The sequence below is a fragment of the Homo sapiens genome, chromosome 5 (assembly GCF_000001405.40).
Source record: "Homo sapiens chromosome 5, GRCh38.p14 Primary Assembly".
NCBI lineage: Eukaryota > Metazoa > Chordata > Mammalia > Primates > Hominidae > Homo > Homo sapiens.
The window spans coordinates 146,774,207-146,796,327 of NC_000005.10; the positions used below are offsets into that span (position 1 = coordinate 146,774,207).

Here is a 22,121-nt window from a genome sequence, read left to right on the forward strand (position 1 = left end):
CATGGGGTTAAGAGTTGAGTGAGATGATATAGGAAGCTATTTCACATATAATGCCTGGCATGTGGAAAGCATTTAGTAAATGGGAGCTGTTATTGCTGTCATTATTATCATCACTATCAGCAATGTGTTTTTGTCTTAAACTGACCAAAAAATAATAAAGTCTGAGAACCAGGACCAAATGTCAGAAAGGTTCTTGGATCCAGATTTTAGTAAAAATCAAGGAAAACCTCTCTAATGATGAGAGAGACAAAAATAAAGTGGGGGGTTGTATACTAACATTATTACTGAGTTTACAGAAAAAAAAAATGGATGTAAGAGAATATTATAAGGCTGGGTGTGGTGACTCATGCCTATAATCCCAGCACTTTGGGAGGCCAAGGTGGGCGGATCACCTGAGGTCTGGAGTTCGAGACCAGCCTGGCCAACACGGCAAAACCCCGTCTCTACTAAAAGTACAAAAATTAGCTGGGCGTGGTGGTGCATGCCAGTAGCCCCAGCTACTTGGGAGGCTGAGGCAGGATAATCGCTTGAGCCTGGGAGATAGAGGCTGCAGTGAGCTGAGATCATGCCACTGCACTCCAGCCTGGGAGATAGAGCAAGACTCTGTCTCAAAAAAAAAAAAAAAAGAAAAGAGAGAGAATATTATGAATAACTGTATGCCAACAAATTGGGTAACCTAGATTAACTGGACAAATTCCTAGAAACACAGACATTACCAAAACTGACTTAAGGAGAAATAGAAAATCCAAGTAGACCTGTATCAAGCAAGGAAATGAAATCAGTAATTAGAAATCTTCCAGAGAAAAGCCCAAGACTAGATGTCTTCACAGGTGAATTCTAAACATTTAAAGAAGAATTAACACCAATCCTTCTCAAACTCTTTCAAAAAAACGAAAACAAAAACACAGAAACAAAAACACTTTCTTAATTACTTTATGAGACCAGCATTACTTTGATACTAAAGTCAGACAGACAACACAAGCAAAGAAAACTATAAACTAACACATTTTATGAATACCGATGTAAAAATTCTCAACAAAATACTAGGAAACCAAGCTCAACAGCATATTGAAAGGATTATACACCCTGAGCAAGTGAAATTTATCCCAGGATTGCAAAAGTGGTAAAATGTATGAAAATCAATGAGTGTAATATACCACATTAATAGAATAAAGGAAAAAACTATGTGATTGTCTCAATTGACAAAGAAAAAGCATTTGACAAAATCTAACAAATATCCTTTCATGATAAAACCCTCAATACATTAGAAATAGAAGGGAACATCCTCAATTTGATAAAAGCCATGTAGCCCCTAAGATTAGGAACAAGACAAAGATGTCTGCTTTTATCACTTATATTCAACAAAGATGCCTGCTTTTATCACTTATATTCAACATAATACTGAAAGACCTAGCCAGAGCAATTAGGCAGGAAAAATAAATAAAAGGCACCTAAATTAGAAAGGAAGAAGTAAAACTATCTTCGCCTGCAGATGATATGATCTTACATTTAAAAACCTTAAGAACACAAACACACACACGCAAATCTGTCATAGCTAATAAAATGAATTCAGCAAAGTTGCAGAATACAAATCAACAACAAAAGAAGTTGTATTTTTATGAACTGGCAATGAACACTCTGAGAAGGAAGTTTATAAAAACGCTGTTTACAATAGCATAAAAAATAATAAAATGCTTAGGAATAAATTTAACTAAGGAGGTACAAGACTTGTACACTGAAAACTACAAAACATTGCTTAAAGAAATGCAAGACAAAAATAAATGGAAACACATTCAGTGTTCATGGATGGGAAGACTTAATACTGTTAAGATGATAATGCTGCCCCAATGTGGTATATCTGTTCAAAGTGACACACAGATTCAATGCGATCCCTATCAAAATCCTAATGGTGTTTCTTGAAGAAATGTGAAAACTGATTCTAAAATTCATATGGAATTTCAGAGGACCAAGAATACAAGAATAGTCAATTCATCTTGAAAAAGAATAAAGTTGGAGAACTCACATTTCCTAATTTCAAAACTTACTTACTGCAAAGCTATATTAATCAAAATGATGTGGTACAGGGATAACAACGGTTTTATATAACAATATAGAATTGAGAGCCCAGAAATAAACCATCATCTCTATGGTCAAATGATTTTCTACAAGGGTGTCAAGACCATTCATTGAGGAAAGAATACTCTCCTCAACAAATGGTGCTAGGAAAAAACCAGACATCCACATTCAAAAGAATGAAGTTGGGCCCTACCCAAATATGAACAAGAAATTAACTCAAAATAAACTACAAACTTCAATTTAAGAGCTGAAACTATAAAACTGTTGCAAGAAAATATAATGGCAAATGTGTATTATGTCAGACTTGGCAATAGTTTTAATATGACACCAAAAGCACAGGTAACAATAACAAAAATATATAAAATTGGACTTCACCGAAATAAAAATTTCTGTATATCAAAAGACACTATCAAGAGAGTGAAAATACAACCCACAGAATAGGAAAAAAATTTGCAAATCATACATTTGGTAAGGTTTTAATATCCAGAGTAAAAAAATAACTCTTATAACTCAGCAACAAAAAGACAAACAACCCAAATAAAAAATGGGCAAAGGAATTGAATACATGTTTTCTTATAAAAGATATACAAATGGCCAATATGTACATGAAAAGATGCTCAACATTATTAATTATTAGGAAAATGCAAAAAATACCACACTAAGATACTACTTCACATCTACTAAGATGGCTATAATTTTTAAAAAGGAAAATAAGTATTGTCAAGGATGTGGAAAAATTGGAATCCCCACACATTGCTGGAGGAATGTAAAATAATGCAGCTTCCATCCTCAAAAAGTTATACACAGAGTTAGGATATGGCCCAGCAATTCCACTCCTAGGCATGCACCCCAAATAATTGAAAACAGTGACTCAAATAGATACTTATATACCAATGTTCATGCAGCATTATTCACAATAACCAAAAGGTAGAAACACCTAAGTGCTCATCAACAGAAGAACGAATAAATAAAATGTGGCGCATATGTAAATGAAATATTATCCAGCCATAAAAAGGAATGAAGTTCTAATACATGGTAAACATGGATGAACCTCAAAAACATTCTAAGTGAATGAAGTTACACACAAAAAGACAATTATTGTATGATTCTACTTGAATGAAATATCTAGAATAGGCAAACTCATAGAGATAGAATATATAGTAGAGGTTACCAGAGACTACGGAAAGGGAGAAATGAGAAGTTATCACTTAATGGGTGCAGTTTCTGTTTGGGGTAATGAGTATTTTTGGAAATAATAGTGATAATTGCACAACACTGTGAATGTAATTAACGCCACTAAATATGCACTTAAAAGTGGTTAAAATGGTAAATTTTATGTTATATATATTTTACCACAGTAAAAAGGTAAATTAAGAAGTCTATTATAAACATCATTGTTGGTATTTGTAATGGCACCATACTATGACATATACAAAACCATTCAGTTTTTCTATGCACAATTGAGAAAAGGAAAAGTGGCCCTTATAAACTGGAACTTAAACATATTTTTGGCCAGATAGCTGGAACAGGCAAAATGTAATTGGTTAAATTGTTTGTATCAGTTCTACCTAAACATATTAATCCATGTCTATAAATGTTTAAAAAGATGAATGCACTGTTACGAGGGAGTAAAATTCCCAGCACTGAAGATACTAATAAAAAATTGTATGGTAGCCCAGCAGGGAAATTGTAGAAGGAATTTATACACATGGCAGGATGTTAGACAAGATGAGGGTCTCAAAGGCCTTCCACTTTTTAAGAGTTTAAAGTTCTATGAGAATTGTGTACAACTAGAAACTTTCCCAAGGTTAAATAATTTTCCTTTTTCCAGAGGCAATGGAAAATGGCAATTTGGGTTCCGGCATTCCTGATAAAAATTTACTGTTTTTGTCTGGTGATGTCTCTACTGAAAATATTCTTTGCTATAAATCTCTTGCCTGAAATTTCCATAGAGCTTATCAGGTTTCATAAAGCAGATCACCTTAAAATGGCTTTTAAAAATTCAGAGTGGAACAGATTCCTCTATGAAATTGTAATATGGAAAATAAAGTTCTCCTAACCCTAATTGTCTTCACAAAAGTGTTTCCAAGGAGAACACCCAGGGATATGACATAAGTAGCAAGGCCATAATAAAGATGTGAGTGTAATTTCCACACATGCTGTCAACCTCAAATATGCAGCCTACTCAGAGGCAATTTGGGTAAAAATTGTCATAGCTATTGCCAGTGTTGTCACTTCTTGATTTTTTCATCCTAGGGACTGTGTCTTATTCATTCTTGGTCTCACTGATGGTGCCACAGTACCATCTTTCAGGCATTCAGTCAAAGTCTCCTGAGTTGAATTTTCACTCTTCCTAGATTTCCTTTGTTATCATGAGTTTTTGATAACAAAGGGGATTGTGAAGAGAGGAGATGGGTCAGTGACTCAAATTTATAAAGCAGGGGTAAATGACACAGTCATCAGAATACATAACTGGGCCACAGAAGGCACATTTAAGTAACAATTTGGAAAACTCAGAATCTAATCAACACATCTGTGCTTTATATTCTCTACCTGCTGTCTTGCCTAAAATGAAGATGCTTAAATCCCCATTAGTGGGGCAGGGCTGCCCATCTATGGAAAAACAGAGCCGGACTCCAATCTGCTTTGTGTGTCTTCAGAACAGCTGCCAGCTGATCAGAAAACATTTAATGTGGGGGATCCAGTGTGGGGCAGGACGAACACAGCTGGTTGACACAGCAAGCAGTTAGAAACAACAACAACAAAAATGCCATTTGATTCGTGGGCTGAGCCAATCCATCTGGGAAATCTCTCAAAGAAAGTAGCTGGAAATGACATTTCAGCTCTGATTTTCCTAGTCAAGTCTGCACCTTAAGCCAAAGACTCAAAAATAGCACTCCATCTAGATGGTGTAAATACAGTGACACTTGAGTCTCTTCACTTTGGTCTTTTAAGAGTGATTTTAACTCTTTCAGAGATAACATGGGAGACTGAAGGGGCTGGATGCTGGAAACGAGACTGTCCACATCTTGTTTCCAGAAAACGGATTACTCTGCTGGCGGTTGATTCTTGGATTTCCTATCATAAGATCTGAACCCTGGGCCTGATGTACAGTGAGGCGTGCGATTGGCATTTGCAGAAGCCTTGACATCCCACACTGCAGTTCATGATTGGTGTCAGACAAAGAAGCATATTAAATGACTGCCGGCCCGGTGATAAGGCCGGTTATTACCGAGGTGTAGTTTCCCCAGGTCTAAAGACTCATAGTGGTACCACTGAAGCATGCTGGGGAGAAGATAAAATTTAATTAATAATTTCCTTAGAGGCCAACAGTCTATTACAACTATGTTCCTTGCTGTTCTCTGCAATGACCTTATAGCTCATAAACATTATAGATGCATGCTTGGTCATAGTCTCATCCCCGGGTTTAATTTATGGCTCAGGTTGCACTGTATAATTAGCTAGTCTGAAATGAAGGTTTTCAGATGCTGAAAACATTTAAAATAGACTCTGCATAAGGTAGGGTGTGCCTCCCTCCCTTCTGTTCAGTTTAATGCCTGTAATACATAGTATAATTTCCTGGATTAATAATACACATATGATGAAGCTGGGGATGAAGGTGAAGTCTGCTTTTGAGTTACATATAGGGGACGAATTTTGGTTTATGTTAGATTTGGAGATTCTGGACACTAAATTAGGTAGCTTTTTCTGTATTCCATAGAGTAGCTCAAACTAAGTGTTTTTAGAAACACAAAATTGCAAAACAATGATGTAACGTGGGGTTAAATTTTTCTCCACTACAGTAAAACACTTGTCTCTTTGTATGTGACTACAATTTATTTTGGACCTATTATGTGGCCAACACTTTGTAGAGCTGTGGTAGAAACAAACAAACAAAAAGCCTCAATTATCTCTGGGATTAGTGCCTCAAAATCAGAGAAGTAGTACATGTTTAATAAATATCTGTTGACTGCATGAGTCAATGAATTGATTGTGGGATATTTTATACATTAAATTATTTTTTAAAATGGGCAATGTTTATATGGTCAGAAAAGTAATAATAAAGTAGATTAAAAATGATAGTTGCTATCTTCCTAAAATTGAGAACCAATGTTTGCTGAATGCCTCCATCCAGGCCCTGCGGTACGAGGAATACAGAGAATACAGCAGTGAATACTGATTCAGACTTTAAAGGCTGACTGTCCGATAGCAAAAATGACTCCCTCAACTTGCCAGAGTCAAGCCCAAACTCTAAGTATTACATTTTCTACAATTATCTTTGGCATATTCCCCTTTCCAGCCTATGCTATATCCAAATTAGATGGCCTTTGTTCTAGTGCCTGGCTAGAATAGAGTCTGAAATACCTGTTGAATATATAACATAAAAAGAAAACTAATCACTAGGAATCCCTGTGCTGTTTGCTGTTGGTGACCCCTCTAGTTAGATATTCTTCCTCAGTTGCTAGTCCATGAGTCCATGACAATTCTCTCTGCCTGTTCTTCAAGATCTACTTCAAACACCATCTAGAATATAGAAGTGCATTGTTGGTATTTGTGTCATTTGATCACTCAGTCACTCATTTGTATATATCTCACACCTCTTTCTAAAATGGCTAAGGCATCACATGATAGAACTGCATAGAAGTAGAAGAATATCTATGCTTTGTAAAGATACAGTTTTCAGTGCCAAAGCAAGCCACTTTATTCCAATTCTCATCCACATTTCAGATGATGATGATGATATTAGTTAATACAGTTAACACTATTGACAGAGCATTTATTATTTGCTCTGGACTATGTTAACTTCTTCCTATATAATTATTTCACTTACATACATAATGCCACCATGATATATATATATATATATATATATATATATATATATATATATATAAAATTATTCTCATGATATAAGTGAAGAAACTAAAACAGACACACTAAGTAAACCTGCCCCAAATCACATCATAACAGTAGTGTGAGTATATCAACCCAGGTCTAAGTCTAAATCTTTGCTCTTAGCCACTACATTATCCTGCCTCTCTCATAATTCTCAGCTAATGACAAACAGATGTGAAAGTGTGTATATTGAACTGTATCCTTGAAGAAGGCAACTTGAATATTCCATTTGCCTGTCTGATGCCAACTACCCAAATTTGTGTAGTCACTCGACCACCTGGATATTTAGTTTACGTTAACACAAAAATCTGGATATTTGAAAAACTGTGGTGCTCAAGCAAGCATTTCAAATCTCATCTAAATTCCTAGCTTCATATAATACTCAGGCAAGGCATTTTTCATGAAAACAGAACATAAGAGATCTGAGCCAAGAAAAAAAAAAAAGAGACAAAATTTTAGACAAAAAGTATGTATTGCTTAATCAATACCAGTTAAAAAAATGAATTTTCCTGTAGCCCACCACCACATTTCACAGAATCATAGTTGTCCCAATGTGATACTTTATGAAAACAGTATATTTCAGGATATTACAACCAGACTAAATCCAACTGAAAGTCAAATAAAGGAAGAAAGACGCTAGGAATGAAATAAATTTTGGATCAATCCAGATTCATCACCAACTGATATGATTGGGATCTGTGTCACCACCAAATCTCATGTTGAATTGCAATCCGTAAAGTTGGAGGTGGGGCCTGGTGAGAGGTGATAGGATCATGGGGGCAGTTTCTGTTGAATGGTTTAACACCATTTCCCTTGGTACTGTTGTCACGATAATAAGCTCTTTTGAGATCTGGTTGTTTGAAAGTGTGTAGCACCTCCCCCACCCATGCTCCAGCGATTTGAATACTGGCTCCCCCTTTGCCCTCCACCATGACTGCAAGTTTCCTGAGGCCTCCCCAGGAGCTGAGGAGATGCTAGCATCACGCTTCCTGTACAGGCTGCAGAACTGTGAGCCAGTTAAACCTCATTTGTTTATAAATTACCCAGTCTCAGGTATTTATTTATAGCAATGCAGGAACGATCTATTACATTATCCATTGTCATAATTGAACCAGAACTCTCCTATAGCTATTGAGGATCTTAACATGTTGTTTCAAATAAAAATAAAGACACCATTCTGAACCAACTTTACATTTAGAATATGCCAGTTTCTATATTAATCCAGGAAACTCAGCATCTAAGTTTCCCCTAAAGCATCTGTTCCTGGGGTGTACCCACAAATTTATAAAGTTATAAAGCCCAAAGAGATGGCCCACATGAATTCACTTCAGCCTGAGTGATGACTACCTGATTCCTCCAGTTATTAGCAAATTTTTCTGTTTGCTCTCTCTTGATTTTTAATTCTTGCACAAGTCACATCATACATTGCAAAAGATATAATATTCTTCAAACCTAATACCTCAGTACTCAATAGTTGTTTTTTTCCTTGCCCATTTTTTTTTAAAGAGTTGATCCATAGTTTTTCAAGCTATGCTTCATGTATGGTGACCACCTTGGTTTCTGTACTTTTCTTGGTTATTTCAATATGTAAAATGCTTGAACTTAATTGAAGGGTGAGAGAGAGAAGGGAGAGGAAACAGAAGAAAGAAGGAAAAAGAAAGAAGAGAGGAGAGACAGAGAGAAACAGAGGGGGAAGGAAGGGAGGCAGAAAAGGAGAGAGAGAAAGAAAGGGGAATGTGGCTAGAAATGTGGATACAAAAGTGTCATAGAATCGATATGGAAAAAAAATCCTTTAACCTGCTATCACATATACTGGCTCAAATTCTGCTTTTAGTGAATTTCCCCCAAATATGAAAAAGTAAGTAGGTATAGGAAGAGTTTTTAAGAATATTGAAAAACTAAAAACCATAAAATGTCTGAGAATAAAGGATAGGTTAAACAAATTAAGATTAATGTCATGGGCTTTATAAACTACTGAAAATCACATGATATAAGAGTATTTGATGACATATTTGTGATCTATTCCTAATACAGAAGCATGCATGGTCATAGTCTCATCCCCAGGTTTAATTTATGGCCCAGGTTACACTGCATAATCAGCTGGACTAAAATGAAGATTTTCAGATGCTGTGAACATTACAAATTCTGCATAAGTTACAGTGTGGTATAGCATAAGCCCTGATTTCATTTAAAAGATATATGCATTGAATAAAGAGATAATAATTTCCACAAAAATGCTCATAAAACCTACCTTTGGGTGCTTTAAGCATCTGTCTGGACCCGTCATTTTCTCTTTAGTTGATTAAATAGCATAAGCAATTTAAAATTTTTCTACTTATGCTTTTTCCATTTTCCAAAGTCCATACAACTTTTATAATCAGTTAAACATCATGCTATTTTAAAAAATAATTAATGTCAGAGGCTGTAAATTTTTTTAAGACACTCCTCTAACACAAAGCACCCAAAAGGAACTTCTTGGAGGTGGATGCTTGTCTTTGCAATGGTCAACAGATACAAGATTGCAGACAACGCATTTGTAAGTCTCTGGCAGATGTTATGAGAATTTCCCATGAACCAGAAATGAAGCCTCTGAGGAACAAGGACCTGAATCACTAAATATCAATTCCATCCCAGAGCACTGCAGAAATTTTGCTACTGTCTGATCGGGGGATAGGAAGAGCAAGAAGGCTGTGCTTCTGCCTCGGAGAATGATGTTATTAACTTATCACATTAGAATATCAAGGAAGATCAGAGTATGTATATATCTTTGTGTGTGTACCTGTCTATATGAGCTTAGCACGTAATTCCCAGACCTACAAAACTTGGCACACAAAGGAAGCAGAAGCACCGAAATAGTGAAGGATTGACTGGAGTACCCCAAAATCTTATGCAATAAAAAGAACCTCAGCTGGTTAACATTTTACCCTTTCTCTCTTTAATTGTGAATAATAACATTGAATGTTTCAGCCTATTTTTCCCCAAAATGGTCTCCAACTTCTAGTTTTTTCTGTAAATAGCATGCATGATATGCAGAAGTTTTCTCAATAAACAGCTATAGAAACAAAACAAAACAAAAATTTAGTCACAACTAAAAGTGTGAGAAGAGGACAGCCTCAGTCCTCTAAATGACTGGATTGGATTCTTACATATTTAAAAAATAAATGTAGCCATTATTTTAAAGTCAAGGATGTTTCCATATTACCTACAAAATAGATGTGATGAAGAAATATATTGGCACTTATAACACTGATGGGAAAATTGATTCAACACAACATTCCTTGGGATTATTAGATATTTTTACCCCACTACAATCTTATTTATCCTATTCACACCTTCAGTAAATATCATACCTTCTCGTAATAGTAAATCAGAATGAATATCAATTAGAACTGGAATTCTAAATATATACAATCTGTAATGTATATAATATATACAGTCTGTAGGTTGCTCTTAAATATACTATTAAAAGTGCTAGTTCAAGTTGGTAAACATATCAATACAATTTCTTTTTGTGTGGCTCTCAGCTCTTCAGAAGGATGACTGCCGTGTTGATTTTAAAACATTGTCCATTTTTCTAGTTAAATAAATATTTCCACATCAGAAAAGAAGGTTCTATTATGTTAACTTTACAGAATATCAGTTTCCTGGTGAGTTCAGAATCAGACATACTTGACTTGTCAGAATCATGAAATTGTAGGATTAGACATACGTAAGTTAGATACCAATTTACAAAGGAATAAAATAGATGGAGTATCAACTTTTGGAATATATGATTGCGAAGAAAAAAGCAAACAGAAAATAAGAGTCACCCAAGAGTGCATCACACCCATGGAGAATAAAGTACAATCGTAGCACTCCATTTTACTTAGCAATAAATAAAAAGTAAATTGTTTAAATATTATTTATTGCTTTTCAACTTTATGAGATAACTCATTGAATAAACCCTCAACCTTAATAGTGGTTACAAAAGAGAATATAAACACAATCAACCCTGATGATATAAAAGGAGAAGAGTATAGAAAAGGAGGAAGGAAGTGGGAGCTAACTTTCTCATCTGACACAGTGGGAAGTCAAGATAAAATAGCTGGCCAGGCACCGTGTCTCATGCCTGTAACCCAAGCACTCTAGGAGGCCGAGGCAGGCAGATTGCTTGAGCCCAGGAGCTCAAGACCAGCTTGGGCAACATAGTGAAACGCTGTCTCTACAAAAAAATACAAAAATTAGCTGGGCATGGTAGTGCACACCTGTAATCCCTGGTACTTGGGAGGCTGAGGTAGGAGGATCACTTGAGACCAGGAGGTGGAGGCTACAGTGAGCTTTGATTGTACCACTGCACTCCAGCCTGGGCAACAGAGTGAGACCCTGTCTCAAAAACAAACAAACAAAAAACAAAAACAACTTAATAGCTTAAGTTGGTGAAACAAGAAATAGAAGTTTCATGGTGACATTTAAACTTACAAAGGCAAGCAACGGAACTAAAATAATAACTAGCAAAAATCAGAATGGAGTAATTTTTAAAAAGTCAGATAAGTTTTGGAAGTAAATCCTTATTTTTCACAGTTGAGGAGTTAATAGAAATATATTAAATGTATATATCAAGAAATAGTGATATATGCATGTTCTCACTGATACATGGGAGCTAAAAAAGTTGATCTCATGGAGGTAGATAGTAGAGTGGCAGTTGCCAGTGGTTGGGAAGGGCATAGGGGAGGGGAGAATAAAGAGAAGTAGATTAATGAGTACAAAAATATAGTCAGATAGAAGAAATAAGTTCTAGTGTTCGATAGCACAGTAGGGTGACTACAGTTATCAATAATTTGTTATATATTTAAAAATAGCTAAGAGAGAAGATTTGGTATCTTCTCAACATGAAGGAATAATAAAATCTTTGAGGTGATGGATATCCCAAGTTACCCTGATATGACGATTACACATTGTATGCATGTATCAAAATATCACATGTACCCCATAAATATGAACAATTACTATATATCAATAAAACTATAATAAATGGAAGGAAAAAAAGAATCACTCAAGATATGTAGAATACTATTGAGAAGGACTCATTTCAAAGGTCATTTCTGAGCTTTAGGATAACTCTAGACACTGTCCCCCACCCCACTTTTCTGTGATACACACATCAGGAAACACTACTTTAAATGCATTATCATGGTTCACCCAGGTTGCCAAGTGAAGCGCTCCTGGAGACAGTCAGCCAGGTGCCAATTATGAAGTTGGCACCTTCCTGATTATCCCACATCCTGATAAGGAAGACAGATGCTGCCACTTCCTGAAACCCCTGGCTGTACCCACCTGGGCCTCCTGACAACCACCAACTATCACTGAAGTGCTGTTCATGGGGGCCAGGTTACTTCCAGACAATTTAAGATATTTACATTGCCCTCTGCTTTCTCCGAGCTCTTAATTTATAACTCCTTTCTGTTTGTGTATAAACCCTTTTAGTCCTTTGCCCATATTAATCCTTCTTGGTATCATTTGGAAAGAGATGATATTGGTTTGATTCTCTCTGGCTCTCCCCACCTCCCAAACTGGTAGGGAAAAAAATGAAGACACATTTGGGTATGATGTAATCTAGCAAGTTCCTTTTTATTACAGATCAATCTTTAGAGAAAGATGAAGTTGCCTGAAAGCAATAAAAAGGTGAGGCCTGTAAAATTTTCTTTAATTCAATCATCTCAGGAAGCTTTTCTTTATAACGAAGCTAACAACAACTCTTGTTATCTATGCTTATAATAATTCCAGTCAAATGCATAAGGCTTTAGGGTTTATCTTGTTCATTTTTCATAATAAATCCCTATTTTACAGATAAAAAACTGAAGCATAGAGAGGTTAAGGATTTTCCTATGGCCATGTGGATCTTTAGTAGCAGATGTGGGATTTTAACTTTAGATTTGTCAAAAATCAAACACACACACAAAAATAGTGCTTACAACTGCCCTATTATTTTCCTTGCCATGGCCTTTGTTGAGGGTTGCAAACTCAGATGCCAGGCAGATAATCTCCATGAGGGGAGCAGGCTGGAAGGGAAATATGGCAACCTGGAATACTCCTACATGATCTACAGGGTGATCACTATTGGCCAACTCCAGCTAACTGTGGTCATGAAGGTTGTATGTACACACTGTGGCCACAGGATCAGATTTGTCAAGGGAAGATAGACGCATAGATTTTTTTAACATTTAAAAATTGTATGTTTTTCAAATGTTGGCAGCTCATTTAAAATATTTTAACTGGCTGAACAAAAGCCTTCTGTAGGGAGAGTTCAGATCTTGGGCCACCAGAGCTCTTCCTTCCTTTCCTCTCTTTTCTCTTCTCTCCTCTCCTCTCTTTTCTCCTCCCCTCTCGCCTCTCCCCTCTCCCTTCTCTCTTGTCTTCTCTTTCTTCTTGAGATGGAGTCTCACTGTGTCACCCAGGCTGGAGTGCAATGGGGTGATCTCAGCTCACTGCAACCTTCACCTCCCAGATTGAAGTGATTATCTTGCCTCAGCCTCCTGAGTACCTGGGACTACAGGCGCACACCACTATGCCTGGCTAAGTTTTGTATTTTTAGTAAAGATGGGGTTTCACCATGTTGGTCAGGCTAGTCTCGAACTCCTGACCTCAGGTGATCCACCCACCTCGGACTCCCAAAGTGCTGGGATTACAGGCGTGAGCCACCATGTCCAGCCTATTCTTTCTTTCTTTAGGCTCAAATCTTAACAGGTGTGATAATAACATGCTGCTTCAATGAAACACTGCATCTTTGGCTTTTAAATTTCTCTGTCTCTCTACTATAGTTAAGGAGTTGAGTGACAAACTGTCTTTCTCATGTCTGCTTTCGGAGGCAAAGTCAAAACTGAGCAGGCTTGGTGGAAGCCTGATTTTCCAGCTGGAAATGAGAATCCCTCCCTCTGCCTCCTCCATGCCGTTGTGTGAGCATTTGCGCAAGTTGCCTCCAGTTTTCTCATGTGGTTCGGATATATAGTGTCTTCTACTGAGTCTAGCTATATTTTGTCTTGGAGGAGGAAGAAAAATAAATCCATATTAGACTCCAAAAAATATAGCTTGGCTTCAATCTCCTCTGCCCAAATTTTGGGGATAATGGTAAATTCCACACTCACCAGCCACATTTTTTTTTTCTTTAGCACACCCTGGTTTAAAGAAAAAAAAAAAGGGAACAGTAACCTCCAAAGTAGGGAGGTTTAGGTTGGACAGAGCAACCTACAATCTTAACATTAAGTAATTTGGAAAATTACTTTAAAAATCTACGGTGGGGCTGGGCACAGTGGCTCACGCCTCCCAGCACGTTTGGGAGGCCGAGGTGGGCAGACCACCTGAGGCCAGGAGTTCAAGACCAGCCCAGCCAACAAGACGAAACCCCGTCGCTACTGAAAATACAAATATTAGCCAGGCGTGGTGGCACATGCCTGTAATCCCAGCTACTTGGGAGGCTGAGGCAAGAGAATCCCTTGAACCCAGGAGGCAGATGTTGCAGTGGTCCGAGATCGTGCATCATTGCATTTCAGCCTGGGTGACAGAGAAAGGCTCTATCTCAACAACACAACAACAAAAATTATGGTGAAGGGTACTCTTTAAATATAATCCTTTGGGTTACACTTAAACACTCTGCAACAACAGAAACAAAACTCTCTGCCTTGGGGTTTTGACTCACACAGACCTCTAAATTCATTCATCCCTCTCAGTTTCTTCCAGAGACCTTAGCATCAGCAAATCAATCTTGCTCACTGTTGTACCCCAGCACCTGGCACAAACATTGGTAAATATTTGTTGAATAAATGAATAAAATGAAAAAAGGGCTCAGATCAGTTGGGACCAAGATAACATCTATGCAGTGATTTATTCATTCAAATATGTTGGAATGAACTCAGGTCCCTAAGGAGCGTGCTCCAGGAACAAAAGGTGGCCACTGTTGAGATCACTGTGAGGCTTTTGTTTTGCTCTGTAGGGTGGAATCCGAGGGCAACAGCTGATTGTGTCTTGACAAAAGAGTAGGAAGGAGGATTTCTGAGTGAATATGTGGGTGGAAAGGCAAGAGAAAATAGCCAAAAACTTGGGGGGCAAATGGGTAAGACTTGGAAAAGAAAAAAGATGTTGGGTATGTGACATAACCCTTTCAGTCTCTCCATAAAACTTTCAGTAACATGTTCACTATCATCAATGATTTTAGAATCGAGTAACATGGTCAGTATTAATAATATAGCTATCACACATGCTTAACATAGAGAAGCAAATATAAATACAAAAATACAACAAAATCTCTGGAGCAGTCTCAGGTGAAACAGCCAAAGAAATAAAACCTTATACTTCAACATGAAAATCACTCAAAGGTACTTGGAAAACACTGTTGATTTACGCAAAGACATTTACTGAGCATTTACTATGGGCCTGGTGATGTTATGGCAAACGAGACAGTCACGGGCATGGTCCCTGCCCTCAAGGAGAGAGAGGCAATACATCTAAGAAATAGGACTGTATCAGTGATGGGGGCTCTGAAGGGAATAAAGAGGAGGTGGTATAAGATAATGATAATGGATTGGATTTAATATTAAATAGGTGGTCAGGGCTGACCTCTCTGAGGAGTGACAACTGAGCCTAAATGTGAAGGATAAAAAGAGGCCAGACATAAGAATGTCTGTGGATAAACCTTTCCAAGAAGAAAAAAGAGAGATGTGCAAATGGCCGGATGTAGCAGATGGTCAGGCAGGCAGGGGCCAGATCAGGGAGACAGAGAACATAACTAGGTCTGCAAGGATAATGGGTAGAGGGGCAAAGTCTCAGGGAAGTTGACTGAAATGCAGAGGTAAAATGTAATCACAACACAAGGGCCTTGACATGCCCCATCTCTGGGGGAAATGTTCTCAAACACTAGCCCTCCAGGGGGCAGGAAATAATGTAGTCTAGTTAATTGCCCTTCGGGACTGCTCTGTGTATGAATGTAAAACTAGGGATTATCCAGCCCCAGATGCAAATGAAAAGGGCACAGTGGGTCACTGGTTTTCCTGAAGACTCTTCTCACTTGAGATAGAAGTGAAAATGCCAATTACCCTCATTTCTGTGGAAGGGAACTGGGAGAGGAGAAACACCAGAGAATTGTGCTTCCGATTGGCTTGAAAATCATAACAACCACCCCAAAATTAAGAGAACAGGAAAAAAGCCCTTTGCTCTTGGGACCTTAAGTGATTAGAAAGAGTTGTTATTTGGCTGATTTTCACACTTCATTAGCATATGCATGATTTAATGAGGGAACATGCTGGGGGGTTGGCACGGGTGAGGGCAGCTCTTTCTACCCACAGACTAGAAACTGGGGCAGTAGCATTGGGAGCGCTTAATTACGCCAGCAAGGCAACAGAGATCAGTGCACAAAGGGGGATGAGCATATGATGGGGACTTGGAACAAGTACAGAAAGATACCCCAATGTCTGTCTTCACCTCTGAGCACACCTGCACTGAGCCATAAGGCAGCATTGCCTAATATCCCTCCCAAGGATAAATCCACCTGTGATAAACCTCACACTCTCCTTCTCTTGCCTCAGACACCTAGATTTTCTTCTCTGAAAATCCTACAATGGCAGGAAGAGTGAAGCATTATATTATGATTGTCCACATTCCATTTAGCATTGAAGAGAGGAGGAAGAAAGTGGGACAGTGTTTTGGGGACAGAATAAAATGAACTCTTGAGGAACAGTCAGACCTTCACATTTTGATTCTGAACTATACTAGAGTAGATACACAAGTGGAGCAGAAAGGACAAAAGTCACAACGAATGCTGCAAATCGGTCAATGTTTAGGCTTTCTTTTTCTCCATTCAAAACACCCCAAAGGAAGATGAAAAAGAAGAAAAGGCAAAGAGAGACTACCTGCAAAGGAAGGACTCAACTATGCCCAGTCACCTATCTTTTAGGACCTGTTTCTCTTCTTGTGTCCTTTGGAAGGACATATATATAACACAAAAAGTAAGGAGTAGAATGGTGCGGGTCTTTTTGAAAAGTGGCAGGGAATTTTACAACTGTCACACCATATCTTACATTAGCACCACGTTCAATGTCATGTAACTATCATACTGCTATATCTTAGTCCATTGGTCTATTCTGAGATATTTTGCCAATCTTTTTCTGCTTCTTATAACTCTTCAGTGTCGATCCCCCCTTTTTCTATTAAGAAAATATTATTTTTCATTTTTCAGCCCAATCTGCTGTGTGTATGTGTGTGTGGTGTGTGCACGTGTGCGTGTGCGTCTGTACAGCTTACAGGTCTGAGCTAATCGGCATATTCCCTGCCCCTGGCAACAGTGATTGGTTCAGGCATTAAAAAAAAATCCAACTTGGACCAATGAGAGTTAGGTCCAGATTTTCACTGCTACATTGAGAAGATTCCAACATATTACTTTTACTCTCTTCACACTCACTCCTCAAAGCTCTCCAAACATGTCAAACATTTTCATACCTCTGTGCTTTTGCAGATGCTATTCCACTTCTTGAATGAATGAAGAAATCCATCAGTTCTTCCATATGTTATTTTGGCTTGAATCCCCAAACCTTATGCTACCATATTTAATTTAATAAGCACACACTCACTACTATTTATTATACCAGACCACTGGCTGTCTCCCAGCAACCCATTCTTTTCTTCTTCTGCCAATAATCCCCTGACTTTCCCTTTTCTTATCCTCAAGTAAAATTTGAGAGGTGCTGATTCCTCCCGCCACATGAGAGTGAGGCCCTAATTGGCCTAATTCATCAGGTATTCCATCTTACTGAATATAGGGAATAGATTTAGGGATAAGCACAGAATCCAAACAGAGCTAATGAGATGTTAGGAGATGTTTCCTAAGGATTTAAGGAGATGTGGAACCCTGCACTATGGCAGACAATTTTCTACCACAAAGAGGCTGGAACAGCTGCTGGGTCTACATAGAAAGCAGAGGACAGAGACTATTGAACCCGGGTAACATAGCTAGGCTCTAGATCAAGCCTTACTCAAAACTAGTGTTCTTTAGATCTTTTAAGGTGTGTGTGCCTAATTTTTGATTAAGCAAACTTTTAGTAGGATTTTTTAGCCTGTTTAACCAAAAAATTACTGGCCAATACAGTGACAAAATGTTAAATAGTTCAAGAGCCCAGCCAAAAACCTGTGGGAAATTATAAACTATCTTCTGAGTCAATGCCACATTGTTCATGCATTCATCCATTCAACATGTAGTTGACCACCACTTACTATATGCCAAGTACTGTCCTAGGATGTTGGGGGTATAACAATGAACAAAACAAACAAGTGTCCTTTTGGAACACAGATTCTGGTGGAGGGAGATATGTAACAAACAATAAATAAGTAAGGTATGTAGTATGTTAGAAGGTGACTATGGGAAAGCAGAATAGGTTAATGCAGATCAGAAAGACTAAAGGTGCAAGGGGACTTCAATTTCAAATAGGTACTCAAGAAAGGCTTCATTGAAAAGGCAACACTTAAAGCCTTGAAGAAGTAAGGAAATTGGCTATGCAGATGTCTGGAAGAAGAGCAGCCCAGGTAGAAGAAACTGCCAATGTTAAGGCCTTCCAGACTGGGGAGTTCAAGCAGCAGCAAGAAGGCTACGGGACAGGCAGAAAGCAGTAGGAAGTGAGGTTAGAGAATAAACCGAAGGACAGATGATGTAGGGTCTTGCAGGCCATCATAAGGGCCCTTTTTTACACTGGGTGAGGTGGGGAGTCATTGAAAGATTTTGAACAGAAGAGTGACATGATCTGACCTAATTTTTTATAGGAATCAATATGGCTACTGTGTGGAGAAGAGATTTGGGGGTCAGTGGTAAAAGTGGAAGCAGGGAACTGCTACAACAAAGTATGTTAGATACTTGCTTGCATCAGCACGGTAGCAGTGGAAGTGATGAAAAAAGATTAGATTCTGGGTAGATTTTAAAAATAGAGCCAATATGATTTTCTGATGCATTGCATGTGGAGTGTGAATAAAGAATGACTGCAAGGTTTTTGGCCTGAAGAACTAGAAGGATGAAGTTGTTATCAACTGAGGAAGGGACAGTTGTAGGTGAAAAAGGTTTGTTCAGGAGATGATCAGAAGTTCAGTCGGAAATATTAAGTCTGCGATATTTTATTAGACATCCAAATAGAAATTTTGAAGCAGCAGTTGCATAAGAAAATATGGAATTCAGGACTGGACTAAAAACATGAATTTGGGAGTTGCTGACATATAGATACTATTTCAAGTCACAAGAGTAGATGAAATAATAAAGGGAGAATTGTACATAACAGTGGATCCAAGTACTAATTCATTTAAGTCACTTATTTAATCCCTATAACCTTGTTAAGTCAGTTATTTTTATCCTAATTTTATAATTAAGGAAATCGAGGCTCATGGATATTAAGATCACACAACAGCTTGGCCAAGAGCATATATGCTCACCTGTGTATAAAGACATAAATAGCTGAGCTGGGACTGAAACCCAGGCAGTCTGACTCTAGAGTCTGTGTTCCTGTCACCCAATATTGCTGCCTATTCCCAAGTGGAATTTTTAAATCAGCTGATACATGTTTAGGGTTAGAAATAACGAGAATATAAAGGACCTAAGTGTGGGCAACAGAGCCAAAAGAATTCAGTTCCCTGTCTCTAGGGTTATACTGAGCTGCAACTACAATGCTGAGACAAAGGTAAGGGCTGAGGTATCTAAACACAGGGAGACCAGTTTGCTCAGTGGTCCCCACACTTAGTCAAATTCACTAGATGCAGCTTTCTAGGTGACCATGCCTAGACATTGATTCAGTAGATATTGAGTAGAGCTCAGAAATTTCATTTTGACACATATCTCAGGAAATTCTGAACACTTTTTGAGAAATGCTATTATAGAAAATAGACTTAGTTTGACTCTGTCCAATAACTCTCCATTCCCAAAGACCAATAAAACTGGCCTTTATCTTAACTTCACAAGTAGGATTGTGACTGAAGAAAGATATCTGTACATGGCTAATGACTACAGCTTAGCTTGAAAAAATAGTTTGATACTCTTTATGAAGGTCTTCAGTCTTCTTTTGTCAATCATAATCAATTTCCTACTTGAACTGAAATTGATCTTTTATTTAGTCATGTTAGTAAATAAAATAACCTTGAACTTTGCAGAGCAAATGGTAGGTTTGCACTAATTACTCATTAAAAGTGTGTGAGAAATTTACATCTTTCATTTGTCAGTGGAGACCCAAGCTTATTCAGATAACTTTACCTAATGATAGTTGCAATCAAAGTGTAATAGCTTTTAACTTATGCTAACAAGTGACTGTACTTACAATAAACTGCCACAGCAGAGCTATAAATAAAATGGGTTGCTATGAATGCCCACTTCCTTTTTAGTTCTGACTAAATAGACAAGTACAGAGCTTCTCAGAAATGCGCATATAACTCCAATAATTCTACAGTTGAGTAAGCCCAGAAAAACATGGAAAAAAGAGCTGATATTTGCTTGAATCAAAGGTAACTGCACAAATGATTTCCTTCAATACCAAATGCCATTACCAACTGTTTGCACATCCTATTGCTTTATGTTTTTACTTAGGGTTTTGAAAACAGCCCTTATGAATTGTCTCTATTTTAGTGATATGACTAATCATATTAATATGGTGCAGTTTTATTTTAAGAATTTTTCCAGAACCACTGACTCATCCAATTTATTGGTTCCACTGGGAGGCAATCAAATGGGACTGGACTAATTTCTAAAACAGGAAAATCAAGACAATGAATAGTGGTGTCTTCCTCCTGCCCCCTATTTTTTTTGTGCAAAATGAAAATATGGGGGCAAAGGAGAAATAATTTCTTAATCACATTATATTAAATACTTACATAGTAATTTAGTGTAGTGATTAAGAAAATGGGTTCTTAGTTGCAATGGTCATAAGCAGGTTATCAGTTTCTTTATCTATAAAATGGGGCTGGTGAAAGTACCCACCTCATAAGGACTGTTAAGGAGATTAGATAGGCTCCCACTTCTGACTATATATCCAAAGGAAATAAAATCACTATCTTGAAGAGACATGTAAACTTCCATATTAATTGCAGCATTATTCACAATAGATAAGATATAGAAACAACTTAAGTGTCTATCAACAGATTAATTAATAAAGAAAATGTGGTATACATGCAAAACAAATATTATTCAGCCTTAAAAAAGGAAACCCTCCCATTTGTGACCACATGGAAGAACCTAATACATTACGCCAAATGAAATGAACCACACACAGAAAGACAATACTGCATGATCTCACTTATATGGGAAATCTAAAAAAGTTGAACTCATAGAAACAGAGTAGAAGGGTGATTACCAGGGGTTGAGGAGTGAGGTATTGGGGAGCTGTTGGCCTAATAAATTCCAGAGACCTAATATACAACATGGTGACTACAGTTAGTAATGTGTTATATACTTGAAATTTGCTAAGAGTAGATGTTATTCTCATCACATATGCATAAAACAAAACAGAAAAAACCACAAAACATAAGCATGTGAGGTGATAGATAATTAGCTTGATTGTGGACTCATTTCACTAGGTATAGTATATCAAAACGTCAGGTTGTGCAACTTAAATACAAACTGTTTTGTCAATTACATCTCAAAGCTGAAAAAGTCAATTTGCATGACTAAAAAACAGAAGATTCGATGGAATAACGCACATAAAATGACCAGCGTAGTATCTGGCACATGATAAAAATTCTTTGTCATCATTAGTGACTATCATTTTTATCTATGCACATTTTTATCTATGCTCAACTGGGTATAAACATGCCTGCATATAGACTATCCCTACGTTTTGTCACTATTGAACTCAGCTGCCTAGTTACTGCCTAATAAGCATCTCTGTTTCACCTCTTCCACTGTAGGCATTCAGTGTGTTTTGCTGCTGACTCAAACAATGGTACACCAACAGAAAACACCCATATAAAAATGTCATTGCAATGATATGACATCTGAGGAGGATTTTAAAATGCAGAAGCATCTTGTTCTTATCCAATTGGGCAATGAAAAAAACCAATGAGAATCTTCATGATAGGTCCACGTATGCTCCCATACGTCCAAGTGTATACATATCTGTTCCTCGAGTCATCACAAACAGAAGTCATCACAAAGGACAGAGTGA

At 37.5% G+C, this 22,121-nt stretch overlaps 1 protein-coding gene across 10 annotated transcripts in view, besides 1 other annotated feature; it reads right to left on the minus strand.

Moving 5' to 3' along the window:
* The window catches only part of PPP2R2B (protein phosphatase 2 regulatory subunit Bbeta), a 500,779-nt gene that overhangs the window by 193,465 nt on the left and 285,193 nt on the right, over positions 1 to 22,121 (minus strand). The window lies entirely within an intron of this gene.
* Positions 14,522 to 15,223: an enhancer, noted in NCBI's record as "OCT4-NANOG-H3K27ac-H3K4me1 hESC enhancer chr5:146168291-146168992 (GRCh37/hg19 assembly coordinates)". NCBI's record gives its function as "activates a minimal SCP1, AML or CMV promoter by ChIP-STARR-seq in naive H9 embryonic stem cells {active_cell/tissue: H9 hESC(naive)}" and the evidence as "EXISTENCE:reporter gene assay evidence [ECO:0000049][PMID:30033119]".